Raw genomic sequence first — 18,550 nt, forward strand, 5'->3', positions numbered from 1 at the left:
CCTCACAGAGTTGAACCTTTCTTTTGATTTAGCAGTTTTGACGCACTCTTTTTGTAGAATCTGCAAGTGGATAGTTGGAGACCTTTGAGGCCTAATGTGGAAAAGGAAATATCTTCACATAAAAACTACACAGAAGCATTGTGAAAAACTTCGTTGTGATGTGTGCATTAAACACACAGAGTTGAACATATCTTTTGATTGAACAGGTTATAATCTCTCATTTGTAGAATCTGCAAGTAAATATTTGGAGCACTTTGAAGCCTACCGTGGAAAAGCAAATATCTTCAGATTAAAACTACACAGAAGCATTCTGAGACACTTATTTGTGATGTGTGCATTCATCTCACAGATTTGAACCTTTCTTTTGTTTGAGCAGTTTTGAAACAGTCTTTCTGTAGAATCTACAAGTGGATATTTGGAGCTCTTTGAGACCTAATGGGAAAAGGAAATATCTTCACATAAAAACTACACAGAAATATTCTGAGAAAGTTCTTTGTGATGTGTGCAATCATCTGATAGGCTTGAACCTATCTTATGATTGAGCAGTTTTGAAATACTCTTTTTGTAGAATCTGTAAGAGGATATGTGGAGAGCTTTGTGGCCTACCATGGAAAGACAAATATCTTCACATAAAAACTCTCCTTAAGCTGATAAGCAACTTCAGCAAAGTCTCAGGATACAAAATCAATGTACAAAAATCACAAGCATTCTTATACACCAACTACACTGAACCATTCTCAGAAACTTCTTCATAATGTGTGCATTCAACTCACAGACTTGAAACTATCTTTAGATTGAGCAGTTATGAATCTCTCTTTTTGTAGACTCTGCACTTGGATACTTGGAGTGCTGTGAGGCCTACTGTGGAAAATCAAATATGTTCATATAAAAACTACACAGAAGCATTCTGAGAAACTTCTTTGGGATGTGTGCATTCCACTCACAGTGTTGAACTTATCTTCTCATTGAGCAGTTTTGAATCTCTCTTTTTGCAGAATCTGCAAGTGCATATTTGTAGCCCTTTGTGACCTATGGTGGAAAAGGGAATGTCTTCAAGGATAAACTAGACAGAAGCATTGAGAGAATCTTCTTTGTGATGTATGCATTCACCTCACAGAGTTGAACATATATTTTGATTGATAAGTTTCGAATCTCTCTTTTTGCAGAATCTGCAGTTGGATATTTTGAGCCCTTAGAGATCTACTGTGGAAAAGCAAATATCTTCACATAAAAACTGCACAGAAGCATTCTGAGAAACTTCTTTGGGTTGTGTGCCTTCAGCTCTCAGAGTTGAACATATCTTTTGATTGATAAGTTTCGAATTTCTCTTTTTGCAGAATCTGCAGTTGGATATTTGGAGCCCTTAGAGACCTACTGTGGAAAACCAAATATCTTCACATAAAAACTGCACAGAAGCATTCTGAGAAACTTCTTTGGGTTGTGTGCCTTCAACTCTCAGAGATGAACCTATCTTTTGATTGAGCAGTTTTCAATCTCTCTTTTGCAGAATCTGCAAGTGGATATTTGGAGCCCTTTTCACCCAATGGTGGAAAAGGAAATATCTTCACATAAAAACTACACAGGAAGATTCTGAGAAACTACTTTGTGATGACTGCATTCATTTCACAGTTTTGAAGGTATCTTATCATTGAGAAATTTGGAAAAACTCTTTTTGCAGAATCTGCAGGTGGATATTTGGAGCACCTTGAGTCCCAATGTGGAAAGGCAAATATCTTCAGATAAATAATACACAGAAGCATTCTCAGAAACTTCTTTGTGATGTCGGCATTCATCTAACAGAGTTGAACCTATATTTTGATTGAGCAATTTTTAATCTCTCTTTTTGCAGGATCTGCAGGTGGATGTTTGGAGCACCTTGGGGCCTACCATGGAAAAGCAAATATATTAAAATAGAAGCTACACAGAAGCATTCTGAGAAACTTATTTTTGATGCGTGCATTCATCTCACAGAGTTGGACCTTTCTTTTGATTTAGCAGTTTTGAAACACTGTTTTTACAGAATCTGCAAGGGGATATTTGGAGCCCTTTGTGGCCTATTGTGAAAAATGAAATATCTTCAGATAAAAACTACACAGAAACATTCTGAGAAACTTCTTAGGGATGTGTGCATTCATCTCACAGGGTTGAACCTACCTTATGATTGAGCAGTTTTGAAACACTCTTTTGTAGAATCTGCAAGTGGATATTTGGAGCTCTTTGAGGCCTACCGTGGAAAAGCAAATATCTTCACATAAAAACTATAAAGAAGCAATTCTGAGAAACTTCTTTGTGATGTGTGCATTGAAATCACAGAGTTGAACCTATCTTTTGATTGGGCAGTTTTGAATCTCTCTTTTTGTAGAATCTGCAAGTGGATATTTGGATCCCTTTGAGGCCTATTGGGAAAAGGAAATATCTTCACATAAAAACTACACAGAAGCATTCTGAGAAACTTCTTTGTCATGTGTGCATTCGTCTCACAGTGTTGAACCTTTCTTTTCTTTGAGCAGTTTTGAAACACTCTTTTTGGAAAAATTGCAAGTGGATATTTGGATCCCTTTGAGGCATATTGTGGAAAAGGAAATATCTTCACATAAAAACTACTCAGAAGCATTGTGAGAAACTTCTTTGGGATGTGTGCATTCAATACACAGAGTTGAACCTATCTTTTGATTGAGCAGTTTTGAATCTCTCTTTTTGTAGAATCTGCAAGTGGATATTTGGAGCCCTTTGGGTTCTATGATGGAAAAGGAAATATCTTCAAATAAAAACAACACAGAAGCATTCTCAGAAACTTCTTCATAATGTGTGCATTCAATTCACAGAGTTGAACTTATCTTTTGGTTGAAGAGTTTCAAATCTCTCTTTTTGTAAAATCTGCAAGTGGATATTTGGAGCGCTGTGAGGCCTACTGTTGAAAATCGAATATGTTCACATAAAAGCTACACAGACGCATTCTGAGAAACTTCTTTGTGATGTGTGCATTTAAGTCTCAGAGTTGAACTTATATTTTCATTGAGCAGTTTTGAATCTCTCTATTTGCAGAGTCTGCAGGTGGATATTTGGAGTCCTTGGAGGACTAATGTGGAATAGCAAATACCTTCTTATAAAAACTATGCAGAAGCATTCTCAGAAACTTCTTTGGGATGTGTGCATTCATCTCACAGAGTTGAACCTTTCTTTTGATTGAGCAGTTTTGATACTCTCTTTTTGTAGAATCTGCAAGTGGATATTTAGAACCCTTTGCACATTTTAATGGAAAGGGAAGTATCTTCAAATAAAAACTACACAGAGACATTCAGAGAAACTTCTCTGTGATGTATGCATTCAACTCACAGAGTTGAAGCTATCTTTTGATTGAGCAGTTTGGAATCTCTCCTTTTGCAGAATCTGCAGGTGGATATTTGGAACCCTTTGAGGCCTACTGTGGAAAAGCAAATATTTTCACATAAAAACTATACAGAAGCATTCTGAGAAACTACTTTCTGATGTGTGCATTCAACTCACAGAGTTGAACCTGTCTTTTGATTGAACAGTTTGAATCTCTCTTTTTGCAGAATCTGTAAGTGGATATTTGTAGCCCTTTGTGGCCTAAGGTGGAAGAGGAAATATCTTCAAATAAAAACTACACTGAAATATTCTGAGAACCTTATTTAGATTTGTACACTCATCTCACAGGGTTGAACATATCTTATGATTGAGCAGTTTTGTAACCCTTTTTTTGTAAAATCTGCAATTGGATAATTGGAGCCCTTTGAGGCCTATTGCAGAAAAGGAAATATCTTCACATAAAAACTATTCAGAAAGATTCTGAGAAACTTCTTTGTGATGTGTGCATTCAACTCCCAAAGTTGAAGCTTCTTTTGATTGAGCAGTTTAGAATATCTGTTTTTGTAGACTCTGCAAGTGGATATTTGGAGCCCTTTGTGCCCTATTGTGGAAAAGGAAATATCTTCAAGTAAAAACTACACAGAAGCATTCTGAGAAACTCCTTTGTGAGGTGTGCATCCAACACACAGATTTGAATTTATCTTCTCATTGAACAGTTTTGAATCTCTCTCTTTGTAGAATCTGCAAGTGGATATTTGCAGCCCTTTTCACCCAATGGTGGAAAAGGAAATATCTTTAAATAAATACTACACAGAAGCATTCAGAGAAACTTCTTTCTGATGTATGCATTCAACTCACAGAGTTGAACCTATCTTTTGATTGAGCAAGTTTGAGTCTCTCTTTTTGCAGAATCTGCAGGTGGATATTTGGAGCCCTGTGAGGCCTACTGTGGAAAAGCAAATAACTTTACCTAAAAACCACACAGAAGCATTTTGAGAAACTTCTTTGTGATGTGTGCATTAATCTCACAGGGTTGAACTTATCTTATGATTGATCGGTTTTGAAATACACTTTTTGTAGAATCTGCAAGTGGATATTTGGAGCGCTTTGAGGCCTACCGTAGAAAAGCAAATATCTTCAGATAAAAACTACACAGAAGCATTCTGAGAAACTTATTTTTGATGCGTGCATTCATCTCACAGAGTTGGACCTTTCTTTTGATTTAGCAGTTTTGAAACACTGTTTTTACATAATCTGCAAGGGGATATTTGGAGCCCTTTTTGCCCTATAGTTGAAAGGAAAATATCTTCAAATAAAAACTACACAGAAGCATTCTCAGAAACTTCATTGTGATGTGTGCATTCAACTCACAGAGTTCAACCTATCTTTTGATTGAGCAGTTTTGAATTTCTCTTTTTGTAAATTCTGCAAGTGGATATTGTGGCGCTGTAAAGCTTACTTTGGAAAATCAAATATGTTCACATAAAAACTACACAGAAGCATTCTGAGAAACTTCTTTCTGATGTGTGCATTCAACTCACAGAGTTGAACCTTTCTTTTTATTGAGCAGTTTGGAATCCTCTTTTTGCAGAATCTGCAAGTGGATGTTTGGAGAACTTTCAGGCCTATTGTGGAAAAGCAAATATCTTCACATAAAGACTGCATAGAAACATTCTGAGAAACTCCTTTGTGAAGTGTGCATTTAACACCCATAGTTGAACTTATCTTCTCATTGAGCAGTTTTGAGTCTCTCTTTTTGAAGAATCTGCAAGTGGATATTTGGAGCCCTTTGCGCCCTGTGGTGGAAAAGGATATATCTTCAAATAAAAACGACACAGTAGCATTCAGAGAAACTTCTTTGGGATGTGTGCATTCAGATCACACAATTGAACCTATCTTTTGATTGAGCAGTTTAGAGTCTCTCCTTTTGCAGAATATGCAGGTGGATATTTGGAGCCCTTTGAGGTCTACTGAGTAAAAGCAAATATCTTCACATAAAAAGTACACTGAATCATTATGAGAAACTTCTTTGGGATGTGTGTGTTCACCTCACAGAGTTGAACCTATCTTTTGATTAAGCAGTTTTGAATCTCTCTTTTTGAAGTATCTGCAAGTGGATATTTGGAGCCCTTTGTTGTCTATGGTGGAAAAGGAAATATCTTCAAATAAAAACTAAACAGAAACATTCTGGGAAAATTTTTTGTGATGTTTGCATTCATCTTACGTGGTTGAACATATCTTGTGATTGAGCAGTTTTGAAACTCTCTTTTTGTAGAATCTGCAAGTTGATATTTGGAGCGCTTTGAGGCCTGCAGTGGAAAAGCAAATATCTTCAGATTAAAACTACTCAGAAGCATTCTGAGAAACTTCTTTGTGATGTGCGCATTCATCTCACAGAGTTGAACATTTCTTTTGTTTGAGCAGTTTTGAAACACTCTTTTTGTAGTAGCTGCAAGTGGATATTTGGAGCCCTTTGAGGCCTATTGTTTAAAAGCAAATATCTTCATACGAAAACTACCCAGAAGCATTCTGAGAAACTTCTTTGTGATGTGTACATTCATCACACAGAGGTGAACCTTTCTATTGATTGAGCAATATTGTAACACTCTTTTTGTAGAATCTGAAATGGATATTTGGAGCACTTTGCAGCCTATTATGGAAAAGGAAATATCTTCACATAAAAACTACACAGAAGCATTGTGAGAAACTTCTTTTTGATGTGTGCATTCATCTAGCAGAGTTGAAACTTTCTTTAGATTGAGTAGTTTTGAAACACTCTTTTTGTAGAATCCGCAATTGGTAATTGGAGCCCTTTGAGGCCTGTTGTGGAAAAGGACATATCTTCACTTAAAAACTACTCGGAAGCATTCGGAGAAACTTCTTTCTGATGTGTCCATTCAACTCACAGAGTTGAACCTATCTTTTGTTTGAGCAGTTTAGAATCTCTCTCTTAGTAGAATCTGCAAGAGGATATTTGGAGCCCTGTGAGGCCTATTGTGGAAAAGAAAATATCTTTAAATAAAATCTACACAGAAGCATTCTCAGAATCTTCTTCGTGATGTGTGCATTCAACTCACAGAGTTTAAGCTATCTTTTGATTGTGCAGATTTGAATCTCTCTTTTTGTAGAATCTGCCAGTGGATATTTGGAGCACTGTGAGGCCTACAGTGGAAAATCAAATATGTTCACATAAAAGCTACACAGAAGCATTCTGAGAAACTTTTTGTGATGTGTGCATTCAACTCACCGAGTTGAACCTGTCTTTGGATTGAGCATTTTTGAATCCCTCTTTTTGCAGAATCTGCAAGTGGATGCTTGGAGAGCTTTGAGGCCTATTGTGGAAAAGGAAATATCTTCACATAAAAACTACACCGAATCATTCAGAGAAACTACTTTGTGAGGTGTGCATTGAACTCACAGTGTTGAACTTATCTTCTCACTGAACAGCTTTGAATTTCTCTTTTTGTAGAATCTGCAAGTGGATATTTGGAGCCATTTGCAACCTATGGTGGAAAGGGAACTATCTTCAAATAAAAACTACACAGAAGCATTCAGATAAACTTCTTTGTGATGTATGCATTCAACTCACAGAGTTGAACCTATCATTCAGTTGAGCAGTTTTGAATCTCTCTTTTTGCAGAATCTGAGGGTGGATATTTGGAGCACTTTGAGGACTACTGTGGAAAGAAAATACCTTCACATAAAAACTACACAGAAGCATTCTGAGAAACTTTTTGGGATGTGTGCATTCATCTCACAGAGTTGAACTTCTCTTTTCATTGAGCAGTTTTGAAACACTCTCTTTGTAGATCTGCAAGTGGATATCTTGAGCCCATCGAGACCTATTGTGTAAAAGGAAATATCTTCACATAAAAACTACACAGAAGCATTCTGAGAAACTCCTTTGTGATGTGTGCCTTCATCTCACAGAGTTGAACTTTTCTTTAGATTGAGCAGTTTCGAAATATCCTTTTTGTAGAATCTGCAAGTGGATAATTGGAGCCCTTTGAGGCCTATTGTGGAAAAGGAAATACCTTCACATAAAAACTACTCAGAAGCATTCTTAGAAACATCCTTGTGATGTGTGCATTCAACTCACAGAGTTGAGCCTATGTTTTCTTTGAGCAGTTTAGAATATCTCTTTTTGTAGAATCTGCAAGTGGATATTTGGAGCCCTTTGCGCCCTATGGTGGAAAAGGAAATATCTTCAAATAAAAACTACACAGAAGCATTCAGAGAAACTTCTTTGTGATGTACGCATTCAACCCACGGAGTTGAACCTATCTTATGATTGAGCAGTTTTGAATCTCTCTTTTTGTAGTATCTGCTAGTGGATATTTGGAGCACTGTGAGGCCTACTGTGGAAAATCGAACATGTTCACATAAAACCTACACCGAAGCATTGTGAGAAACTTCTTTGTGAGGCGTGCATTCAACTTGTAGAGTTGAACTTATCTTCCGAATGAGAAGTTTTGAATCTCTCTTTTTGTAGAATCTGCAAGTTGATATTTGGAGCCCTTTGTGCCCTATGGTGGAAAAGGAAATATCTTCAAATAAAAACTACACAGAAGCAATTTGAGAAACTTCTTTTTGATGTGTGCATTCATCTCACAGAGTTGAACCTTTCTTTTGATTGATCATTTTTGAATCTCTCTTTTTGCAGAATGTGCAAGGGGATATTTAGAGCCCTTTTGGGCCTATGGTGGATAAGGAAATATCTTCAAATAAAAACTACACTGAAACATTCTGAGAAACTTCTTTGTGAAGTGTGTATTCATCTCACAAGGTTGAACCTATATTATGATTGAACAGTTTTGAAACACTTTTTTTGTAGAACCTGCAAGTGGATATTTGGAGCGCTTTGAGGCCTACCGTGGGAAAGCAAATATCTTCAGATAAAAAATACACAGAAGCATTCTGAGAAACTTCTTTGTGATGTGTGCATTCATCTCACAGAGTTGAACCTTTCTTTTGATTGAGCAGTTTTGAAACACTCTTTTTGTAGAATCTACAAGTGGATAATTGGAGCCCTTTGAAGCCTATTGTGGAAAAGGAAATATCTTCACATAAAAACTACTCAGAGGCATTCTGAGAAAATTCTTTGTGAGGAGTGCATTCGACTTGCAGAGTTGAAGTTATCTTCTCATTGAGCAGTTTTATATCTCTCTTTTTGTAGAATCTGCAAGTGAATATTTGAAGCCCTTTCTGCCCTATGGTGGAAAAGTAAATATTTTCAAATAAAAACTACGCAGAAGCATTCAGAGAAACTTCTTCATGATGTGTGTGTTCAACTCACAGAGTTGAACATTTCTTTTGATTGAGCACTTTTGAAACACTCTTTCTGTAGAATCTGGAATTGGATTTTTGGAGGGCTTTGAGGCTATTGGAAAAGGAAATATCTTCACATAAAAACTACACAGAAGCATTGTGAGAAACTCCTTTATGTGTGCATTCAACTCACAGATTTGAACTTATCTTCTAATTGAGTTGTTTTGGATCTCTCTTTTTGCAGAATCTGCAAAAGTTTTTTTGGAGAGCTTTGAGACCTACTGTGAAAATCAAATATCTTCACATAAAAACTTCCCAGAAGCATTCAGAGAAACTACTTTGTGATGAGTGCATTCATCACACACAGTTGAACACTTCCTTTGATTGAGCTTTTTTGAAACACTCTTTTTGTAGAATCTGGAAGCGAATATTTGAAGAGCTTCGGGCCTATTTTGGAAAAGGAAATATCTTCACATAAAAACTACATAGAAGCATTGTAAGAAATGTTATGTGTGCTTTCAACTCACAGAGTTGAAAGTATCTTTGATTGAGCAGTTTTGAATCTCTTTTTGCGGAATCTGCAAGTGGATATTTGGAGGGCTTTGAGGCCTACAGTAGAAAAGGAAATATCTTCACATAAAAACAACACAGACGCATTCTGAGAAACTTCTTTGTGATGCGTGCATCCATCTCACAGAGTTGAATCTTTCTTTTGATTGAGCAGTTTTGAAACACTCTTTTTGTAGAATCTGCAAGTGGATATTTGGAGCCGTTTGTGGCTTCTAGTGGAACAGGAAATAACTTCACATAAAAACTACACAGAGCATTCTGAGAAACTTCTTTGTGAGGTGTACATTCATCTCACAGGGTTGAATACTTCTTTTGATTCAGCAGTTTTCAAACACTCTTTTTTGTAGAATCTGCAAGTGCATAATTGGAGCCATTTGAGGCCTATTGTGGAAAAGGAAATATCTTCACATGAAAACTACTCAGAAGCATTCCGAGAAATTTCTCTGTGTTGTGTGCATTTAACTCACAGAGATGAATCTATCTTTGATTGAGCCATTTGGAATCTCTCTTTTTGTAGAATCTGCAAGTGGATATTTGGAACCATTTGTGCCCTATGCTGGAAAAGGCTATATCTTCAAATAAAAATTACAGAGAAGCATTATCAGAAACGTCTTCCTGATGTGTGCCATCAACTCACAGAGTTGAACCTATCTTTTGATTGAGCAGTTTTGAATCTCTCTTTTTGTAGAATCTGCATCTGCATATTTGGAGTGCTGTGAGACCTACTGTGGAAAATCAAATATGTTCACATAAAACCTACACAGAATCTTTGAGGCCTATTGTGGAAATGAAATATGTTCATATAAAAAGTACACAGAAGTATTCAGAGAAACTTCTTTGTGAGGTGTGCATTCAACTCACAGAGTTGAACTTATCTTCTCCTTGAGTAGATTTAAATCTCTCTTTTTGTATAATCTGCAAGTGGATATTTGGAGCCTTATGCACCCTAACGTGAAAAGGAAATATCTTCAAATAAAAACTACACAGAAGCATTCACGGCAACTTATTTGTGATGTATGCATTCAACTCACAGAGCTGAACCTTTCCTTTGATAAAGCAGTTTTGAAAAACTGTTTTTGTAAAATCTGCAAGTGGATACTTTGAGCGCTTTGAGGCCTTTGGTAGAAAAGGAATATGTTCATAAAAAAACTAGACAGAAATATTCTGAGAAACTTCTTTGTGATTTATGGAATTCATCTCACAGGGTTGAACTCATCTTTTGGTCGAGCGGTTTACAATCTCTCTTTTTGTACAATCTGGAAGTTTATATTTGGACCCCTTTGTGCCTTATGGTGGAAAAGGAAATATCTTCAAATAAAAACTACACAGAATCATTTTCAGAAACTTCTTCACGATGTGTGCATTCAAATCACAGAGTTGAACCTATCCATTGATTGAGCAGTTTAGAATCTCTCTTTTTGTAGGATCTGCAAGTGGATATTTGGAGTCCTACGTGTCCTATGGTGGAAAAGGAAATATGTTCAATTAAAAACTACATAGAAGCATTCTCAGAAACTTCCTCTTGATGTGTGCATTCAACTCACAAAATTGAACCTATGTTTTGATGGAGCAGTTTGGAATCTCTCTTTTTGAAGAATGTGCAAATGGATATTTGGAGCGCTGTTTGGCCTACTGTGTAAAATCGAATATGTTCCCCTAAAAACCACACAGAAGCATTCTGATAAACTTCTTTGTGATGGGTGCATTCAACTCACTGTGTTGAACCTATCTTTTGATAGAGCAGTTTTGAAACACTTTGTAGAATCTGCAGGTGGATATTTGGTGCGCTGTGAGGCCTATGGTGGAAAAGGCAATGCCTTCACATAGAAACTAGACAGAGGGTTCTCCAAAACTTCTTTGTGATGTGTGCGTTCAACTCACAGAGTTGAACCTGTCTTTTGACAGACCAGCTTTGAAACGCTCCTTTTGTAGAATCTGCAAGTGGATAATTGGAGTGCGTTGAAGCCTATGATGGAAAAGTAAATACCTTAATATAAAAACCAGACGGAAGCATTTTCTGAAAATTTTTGTGATGTGGACATTCAACTTATTGTGCTGAACCTTTCTTTTGATAGAGCAGTTTTGAAACACTCTTTTTGTAGAATCTGCAAATGGATAATTGGAGCACTTTGAGGTCTATGATAGAAATGGAAATATCTTCACATAAAAACTAGACGTAAGCATTCTGAGATACTTCTATGTGATGTGTGCATTCACGTCACAGAGTTGAGCCTTTTTTTTGATAGAAGAGTTTTGATACACTCTTTATGTAGAATCTACAAGTGAATATTTGGAGTGTTTTGAGGCCTATGGTGGAAAAGGAAATATCTTCACATAAAAACTAGAAAGAAGCATTCTCAGAAACTTCTTTGTGATGTGTGCATTCAACTCACAGAGTTGAACATTTCTTTTGATGGAGCAGATTTGAATCACTCTTTTTGTAGAATCTGCAAGAGGATATTTCGTTCCCTTGGTGGCCTATGTTGGAAAAGGAAATATCTTCACATAAAAACTTGACAGAAGCTTTCTCAGAAACTTCTTTGTGATGTGTGCATTCAACTCACAGAGTTGAACCTTTCTTTTGATAGAGCAGCTTTGAAACACTCTTTTTGTAGTATCTGCAAGTAGATATTTGGAGCACTTTAAGGCCTATGCTGGAAAAGGAAATATCTTCACATAAAAACTAGACAGAAGCATTCCCAGAAATATCTTTGTGATTTATATATTGAATTCATAGGGTTGAACCTTTCTTTTGATACAGCAGTTTTGAAATACTCTTTTTGTAGAAACTGCATGTGGATATTTGGAGTGCTTTGGGGCCTGTGGAGGAAAAGGTAATATCTTCACAAAAAAAAAAAAAATTCTCAGAAACTTCTTTGTGATGTGTACATTCAACTCACAGAGTTGAACCTTTCTTTTGATACAGTTGTTTTGAAACACTCTTTTTCTAGAATCTGCAAGTGGATATTTTGTTCCCTTTGAGGCCAATGTTGGAAAAGGAAATACCTTCACATAAAAACTAGACAGAAGCATTCTCAGAAACTTCTTTGTGTTGTGTGCATTCAACTCACAGAGTTGAACCTTTCTTTTGACAGAGCAGTTTTGAAACACTCTTTTTGTAGGATCTGGAAGTGGATATTTGGAGCGCTTTGATGCCTATGGTGGAAAAGGAAATATCTTGACATTAAAACTAGACAGAAACATTCTCAAATATTTCTCTGTGATTTGTGCACTCAACTCACAGAGTTGAACCTTCCTTTTGATAGAGCAGTTTTGAAACACTCCTTTTGTAGATTCTGCAAGTGGATATTTGGAGCATTTGGAGGCCTATGGTATAAAAGGAATATCTTCATATAAAAACTAGAGAGAAGCATTCTAAGAAACTTCTTTGTGATGTGTACATTCAACTCACAGAGTTGGGCCTTTCTTTTGATAGAGCAGTTTTGAAACACTCTTTTTGTAGAATCTGTGATTCGATATTTGGAGAGCTTTGAGGCCCATGGTGAAAAACGAAATATCTTCACATAGAAACTAGACAGAAGCATTCTCCGAAACTTCTTTGTGATGTGTGCATTCAACTCACAGAGTTGAACCAATCTTTTGATTCAGCAATTTAGAAACACTATTTTGTAGAATCTGCAAGTGGATATTTGGAGACTTTTGAGGCCTATGGTGGGAAAGGAAATATCTTCACATAAAAACTAGACAAAAGCATTCTCAGAAACTTTTTCTTATGTGGGCATTGAACTCACAGAGTTGAACCTTTCTTTTTATAGAGAAGTTTTGAAACACTCTTTTTGTAGAATCTGCAAGTGGATATTTAGAGCGCTATGAGGCATATGTTGGAAAAGGAAATATCTTCACATAAAACCTAGACAGAAGCATTCTCATAAACTTCTTTGTGATGTGCGCATTCAACTCACACAGTTGAACCTTTTTTTTGATAGAGCACTTTTGAAACACTCTTACTGTAGTATATGCAAGTGGATGTTTGGAGTGCTTTGAGGCCTATGGTGGAAAAGGAAATACCTTCACATAAAAACTAGACAGAAGCATTCTCAGAAACTTTTTGGTGATGTGTGCGTTCAACTCACAGAGTTGAACCATTCTTTTGATTGAGCAGTTTTGAAACTCTCTTTTTGTAGAATCTGCAAGTGTATATTTTGTTCCCTTTGAGGCCTATGTTGGAAAAGGAAATATCTTCACATAAAAACTAGATAGAATGATTTTCATAAGCTTCTTTGTGATGTGCACATTCAACTCACAGTTTTGAACCTTTCTTTTGATAGAGCAGTTTTGAAACACTCTTTTTGTAGATTCTGCAAGTTGATATTTGGAGCGCTTTGAGGCCTATGTTGGAAAAGGAAATATCTTTACATAAAAACTAGACAGAAGAATTCCCCGAAACTTCTTTGTGATGTGTGCATTCAACGAACACATTTGAACCTTTATTTTGATACAGCAGTTTTGAAACAGTCTTTCCGAAGGATCTGCAAGTGGATTTTTTTTCCCTTTGAGGCCTATGTTGGAAAACGAAATATATTCACATAAAAACTAGACAGAATTATTCTCAGAAACTTATTCATGATGTGTGTATTCAACTCTCAGTGTGTTCTTTTCTTTTGATAGAGCAGTTTTGAAACACTCTTTTTGTAGAATCTGCAAGTTGTTATTTGGAGCGCATTGAGGCCTGTGCTGGGAAAGGAAATATCTTCACATAAAAACTAGACAGAAGCATTCTCAGAAACTTCTTTGTGATGTCTGCATTCAACTCACAGTGTTGAACCTTTCTTTTCATAGAGCAGTTTTGAAACACTCTTTTTGTAAAATCTGCAAGTGGATATATGTAGCGCTTTGAGGCCTATGGTAGAAATAGACATATCTTCACATAAAAGAAAGACAGAGCCATTCTCCAAAACTTCTTTGTGATTTTTGTATTCAACTGAGAGAGTTGAACATTTCTTTTGATAGAGCTTTTTTTCTTTTTTTTTTTTTTAGTTATTATTATACTTTAAGTTTTAGGGTACATGTGCTCATTGTGCTGGTTAGTTACATATGTATACAAGTGCCATGCTAGTGCGCTGCACCCACTAACTCGTCATCTAACATTAGGTATATCTCCCAATGCTATCCCCACCCCCTCCCTGCACCCCACAGCAGTCCCCAGAATGTGATGCTCCCTTTCTTGTCTCCATGTGTTCTCATTGTTCAATTCCCACCTATGAGTGAGAATATGCGGAGTTTAGCTTTTTGTTCTTGCCATAGTTTACTGAGAATGATGTTTTCCAATTTCATCCATGTCCCTACAAAGGACATGAACTCATCTTTTTTTATGGCTGCGTAGTATTCCATGGTGTGTATGTGCCACATTTTCTTAATCCAGTCTATCATTGTTGGACATTTGGGTGGGTTCCAAATCTTTGCTATTGTGAATAATGCCGCAATGAACATACGTGTGTATGTGCCTTTATAGCAGCATGATTTATAGTCCTTTGGGTATATACCCAGTAATGGGATGGCTGGGTCAAATGGTATTTCTAGTTCTAAATCCCTGAGGAATAGCCACACTGACTTCCACAATGGTTGAACTAGTTTACAGTCCCACCAACAGTGTAAAAGTGTTCCTATTTCTCCACATCCTCTCCAGCACCTGTTGTTTCCTGACTTTTTAATGATTGACATTCTAACTGGTGTGCGATGGTATTTCATTGTGGTTTTGATTTACATTTTTCTGATGGTCAGTGATAGTGAGCATTTTTTCATGTGTTTTTTGGCTGCATAAATGTCTTCTTTTGAGAAGTGTCTGTTCATGTCCTTTGCCCACTTTTTGATGGGGTTGTTTGTTTTTTTCTTGTAAATTTGTTTGAGTTCATTGTAGATTCTGGATATTAGCCCTTTGTCAGATGAGTAGGTTGGGAAAATTTTCTCCCATTTTGTCGGTTGCCTGTTCACTCTGATGGTAGTTCCTTTTGCTGTGCAGAAGCTCTTTAGTTTAATTAGATCCCATTTGTCAATTTTGGCTTTGGTTGCCATTGCTTTTTGTGTTTTAGACATGAAGTCCTTGCCCATGCCTATATCCTGAATGGTAATGCCTAAGTTTTCTCCTAGGGTTTTTATGGTTTCGGGTCTAAGGTTTAAGTCTTTAATCCATCTTGAATTGATTTTTGTATAAGGTGTAAGGAAGGGATCCAGTTTCAGCTTTTTACATGTGACTAGCCAGTTTTCCCAGCACCATTTATTAAATAGGGAATCCTTTCCCCATTGCTTGTTTTTCTCAGGTTTGTCAAAGATCAGATAGTTGTAGATATGCGGTGTGACTTCTGAGGGCTCTGTTCTGTTCCATTGATCAATATCTCTGTTTTGATACCAGTACCATGGTGTTTTGTTTACTGTAGCCTTGTAGTATAGTTTGAAGTCAGGTAGAGTGATGCTTCCAGCTTTGTTCTTTTGACTTAGGATTGACTTGGTGATGCGGGCTCTTTTTTGGTTCCATATGAAATTTAAAGTAGTTTTTTCCAATTCTGTGAAGAAAGACATTGGTAGCTTGAAGGAGATGGCATTGAATTTGCAAATTACCTTTGGCAGTATGGCCATTTACACGATATTGATTCTTCCTACCCATCCGTATTCAACATAGTGTTGGATATTCTGGCCAGGGCAATTAGGCAGGAGAAGGAAATAAAGGGTATTCAATTATGAAAAGAGGAAGTCAAATTGTCCCTGTTTGCAGATGAAATGATTATATATTTTGAAAACCCTATTGTCTCAGCCCAAAATCTTCTTAAGCAGATAAGCAACTTCAGCAAAGTCTCAGCATGCAAAATCAATGTACAAAAATCACAAGCATTCTTATACACCAACAACAGACAAACAGAGAGTCAAATCATGAGTGAACTCCCATTCACAACTGCTTCAAAGAGAATAAAATACCTATGAATCCAACTTACAAGGAACGGGAAGGACCTCTTCAAGGAGAACTACAAACCAATGCTAAAGGAAATAAAAGAGGATACAAAAAATGGAAGAATATTCCATGCTCATGGGTGGGATAGAGCAGTTTTGAAACACTTTTTTGTAGAATCTGCAAGTGGATATTTGGTTCCCTTTGAGGCCTATGTTGGAAAAGAAAATATCTTCACATCAAAAATAAACCGAAGCATTCTCAGAAACTTCTTTGTGATGTGTGCATTCATCTCACGGAGTTGAACCATTCTTTTGATAGAGCAGTTTTGAAACACTCTTTTTGTAGAATCTGGAAGTGGATATTTGGAGCGTTTTGAGGCCGACAGTGGAAAAGGAAATATCTTCATTAAAAACAAGACAAAAGCATTCTCAGAAACTTCTTTGTGATGGGTGCATTCAAGTCACAGAGTTAAACATTTCTTTTGGTACAGCAGTTGTGAAACACCCTTTTGGTAGAATCTGCAAGGGGATATTTTGTTCCCTTTGAGGCCTACGTTGGAAAAGGAAATATCTTCACATAAAAACTAGACAGAAGTATTCTCAGAAACTTCTTTGTGATGTGTGCATTCAACTCACAGAGTTGAACTTTTCTTTTGACAGAGCAGTTTTGAAACACTCTTTTTGAGGAAACTGCAAGTGGATATTTGGAGCACGTTGAGGCCTATGGTGGAAAAGGAAATAACTTCACATAAAAACTAGATGGAAGCCTTGTCAGAAACTTCTCTCTGATGTGTGCATTCATCTCACAGAGTTGAACTTTCTTTTGATAGAGGAGTTTTGAAACACTCTTTTTGAGGAAACTGCAAATGGATATTTGGAGCGCTTTGAGGCCTATGATGGAAAATGAAATATTCTCACATAAAAATTAGACAGAAGCATTCTCAGAAACTTCTTTGTGATGTGTGCATTCAACTCACAGAGTTGAATCTTCCTTTTGATAGAGCAGTTTTGAAACACTCTTTTTGTAGAATCTGCAAGGTGATATTTGTAGCACTTTGAGGCATTTGCTGGAAACCGGAATATCTTCATATGAAAACTAGAAACATTCTCATAAACTTCTTGGTGACGTGTGCATTCAACACACAGTGTTGAACCTTCCCTTTGATAGAGCAGTTTTGAAACACTCTTTTTATAGAATCTGAAAGTGGATATATAGAGCGCTTTGAGGCCTTCGTTGGAAACGGGAATATCTTCACATAAAAACTAGACAGAAGCATTCTCAGAAACTTCTTTGTGATGAATGCGTTCAACTCACAGGTTGGAACCTTTATTTTGATAGAGCAGTTTTGAAACACTCTTTTGTAGCATCCGCAAGTGAATATTTGGAGGCCTTTTAGGCCTACGGTGGAAACAGGAATATCTTCACCTAAAAACTAGACAGAAGCATTCTCAGAATCTTCTTTGTGATGTGTGCATTCAACTCCAAGGGGTTAAACTTCCTTTTGATAGTGCAGTTCTGAAACACTCGTTTTGGAGAATCTGCAAGTGGATATATGCAGCGCTTTGAGGCCTGTGGTAGAGAAGAAAGTATCTTCATATAAAAACTAGACAGAAACGTTATCAGAAACTAATTTGTGTTGTGTGCATTCAGCTTTAAGAGTTGAAACTTTCTTTTGATAGAACAGTTTTGAAACACTGTTTTTGTAGAATCTGGAACTAGACTTTTTGAACACTCTGAAGCATGTGGTGGAAAAGGAAATATCTTCATATAAAAACTAGACAGAGGCATTCTCAGAAACTACTTTTTGATGTGTGCATTCAACTCACAGATTTGAACTCTTTTTTGATAGAACAGTTTTGAAACACTCTTTTTGTATAATCTGCAAGTGGACATTTGGAGAGCTTTCCGGCCTATGGTGGAAAAGGAAATATCTTCACATAAAAACTACACAGAAGCATTCTCAGGAACTTCTTTGTGATGTTTGCATTCAACACACAGATTTGAACATACCTTTTTATAGAGCAGTTTTGAAACACTCTTTTTGTGGAATCTGCAAGTTGATATTTGGGACCCTTTGACGCTTTCTTGGAAACGAGATATCTTCACATAAAAAGTAGACATAAGCATTCGCAGAAACTTTTTGTGATGTGTGCTTTCAACTCACAGAGTTGGAATTTTTTTTTGATAGAGCAGTTTTGAACCACGTTTTTGTAGAATCTGCAAGTGGACATTTGGTGCACTTTGAAGCCTGTGGTCGAGAAGGAAATATCTTCATATGAAAACTAGACAGAAGAATTCTCAGAAACTCCTCTGAGATATGTGCATTCAACTAACAGATTTGAACCTCTCTTTTGAAAGAGCAGATTTGAAACACTCGTTTTGTAGAATCTGCAAGTGGACATTTGGAGAGCTTTGAGGCCTATGGTGGAAATGGAAATATCTTCACATAAAAACTAGACAGAAGAATTCTCAGAATCT

General features: G+C 36.7%; 3 annotated features.

The window, feature by feature from the left end:
- Positions 6,510-7,011: an enhancer, noted in NCBI's record as "NANOG hESC enhancer chr16:35273941-35274442 (GRCh37/hg19 assembly coordinates)". NCBI's record gives its function as "activates a minimal SCP1, AML or CMV promoter by ChIP-STARR-seq in primed H9 embryonic stem cells {active_cell/tissue: H9 hESC(primed)}" and the evidence as "EXISTENCE:reporter gene assay evidence [ECO:0000049][PMID:30033119]".
- Positions 11,396-11,943: an enhancer, noted in NCBI's record as "OCT4-NANOG hESC enhancer chr16:35278827-35279374 (GRCh37/hg19 assembly coordinates)". NCBI's record gives its function as "activates a minimal SCP1, AML or CMV promoter by ChIP-STARR-seq in naive H9 embryonic stem cells {active_cell/tissue: H9 hESC(naive)}" and the evidence as "EXISTENCE:reporter gene assay evidence [ECO:0000049][PMID:30033119]".
- Positions 11,944-12,491: an enhancer, noted in NCBI's record as "OCT4-NANOG hESC enhancer chr16:35279375-35279922 (GRCh37/hg19 assembly coordinates)". NCBI's record gives its function as "activates a minimal SCP1, AML or CMV promoter by ChIP-STARR-seq in naive H9 embryonic stem cells {active_cell/tissue: H9 hESC(naive)}" and the evidence as "EXISTENCE:reporter gene assay evidence [ECO:0000049][PMID:30033119]".

Source organism: Homo sapiens, chromosome 16, assembly GCF_000001405.40.
Source record: "Homo sapiens chromosome 16, GRCh38.p14 Primary Assembly".
NCBI lineage: Eukaryota > Metazoa > Chordata > Mammalia > Primates > Hominidae > Homo > Homo sapiens.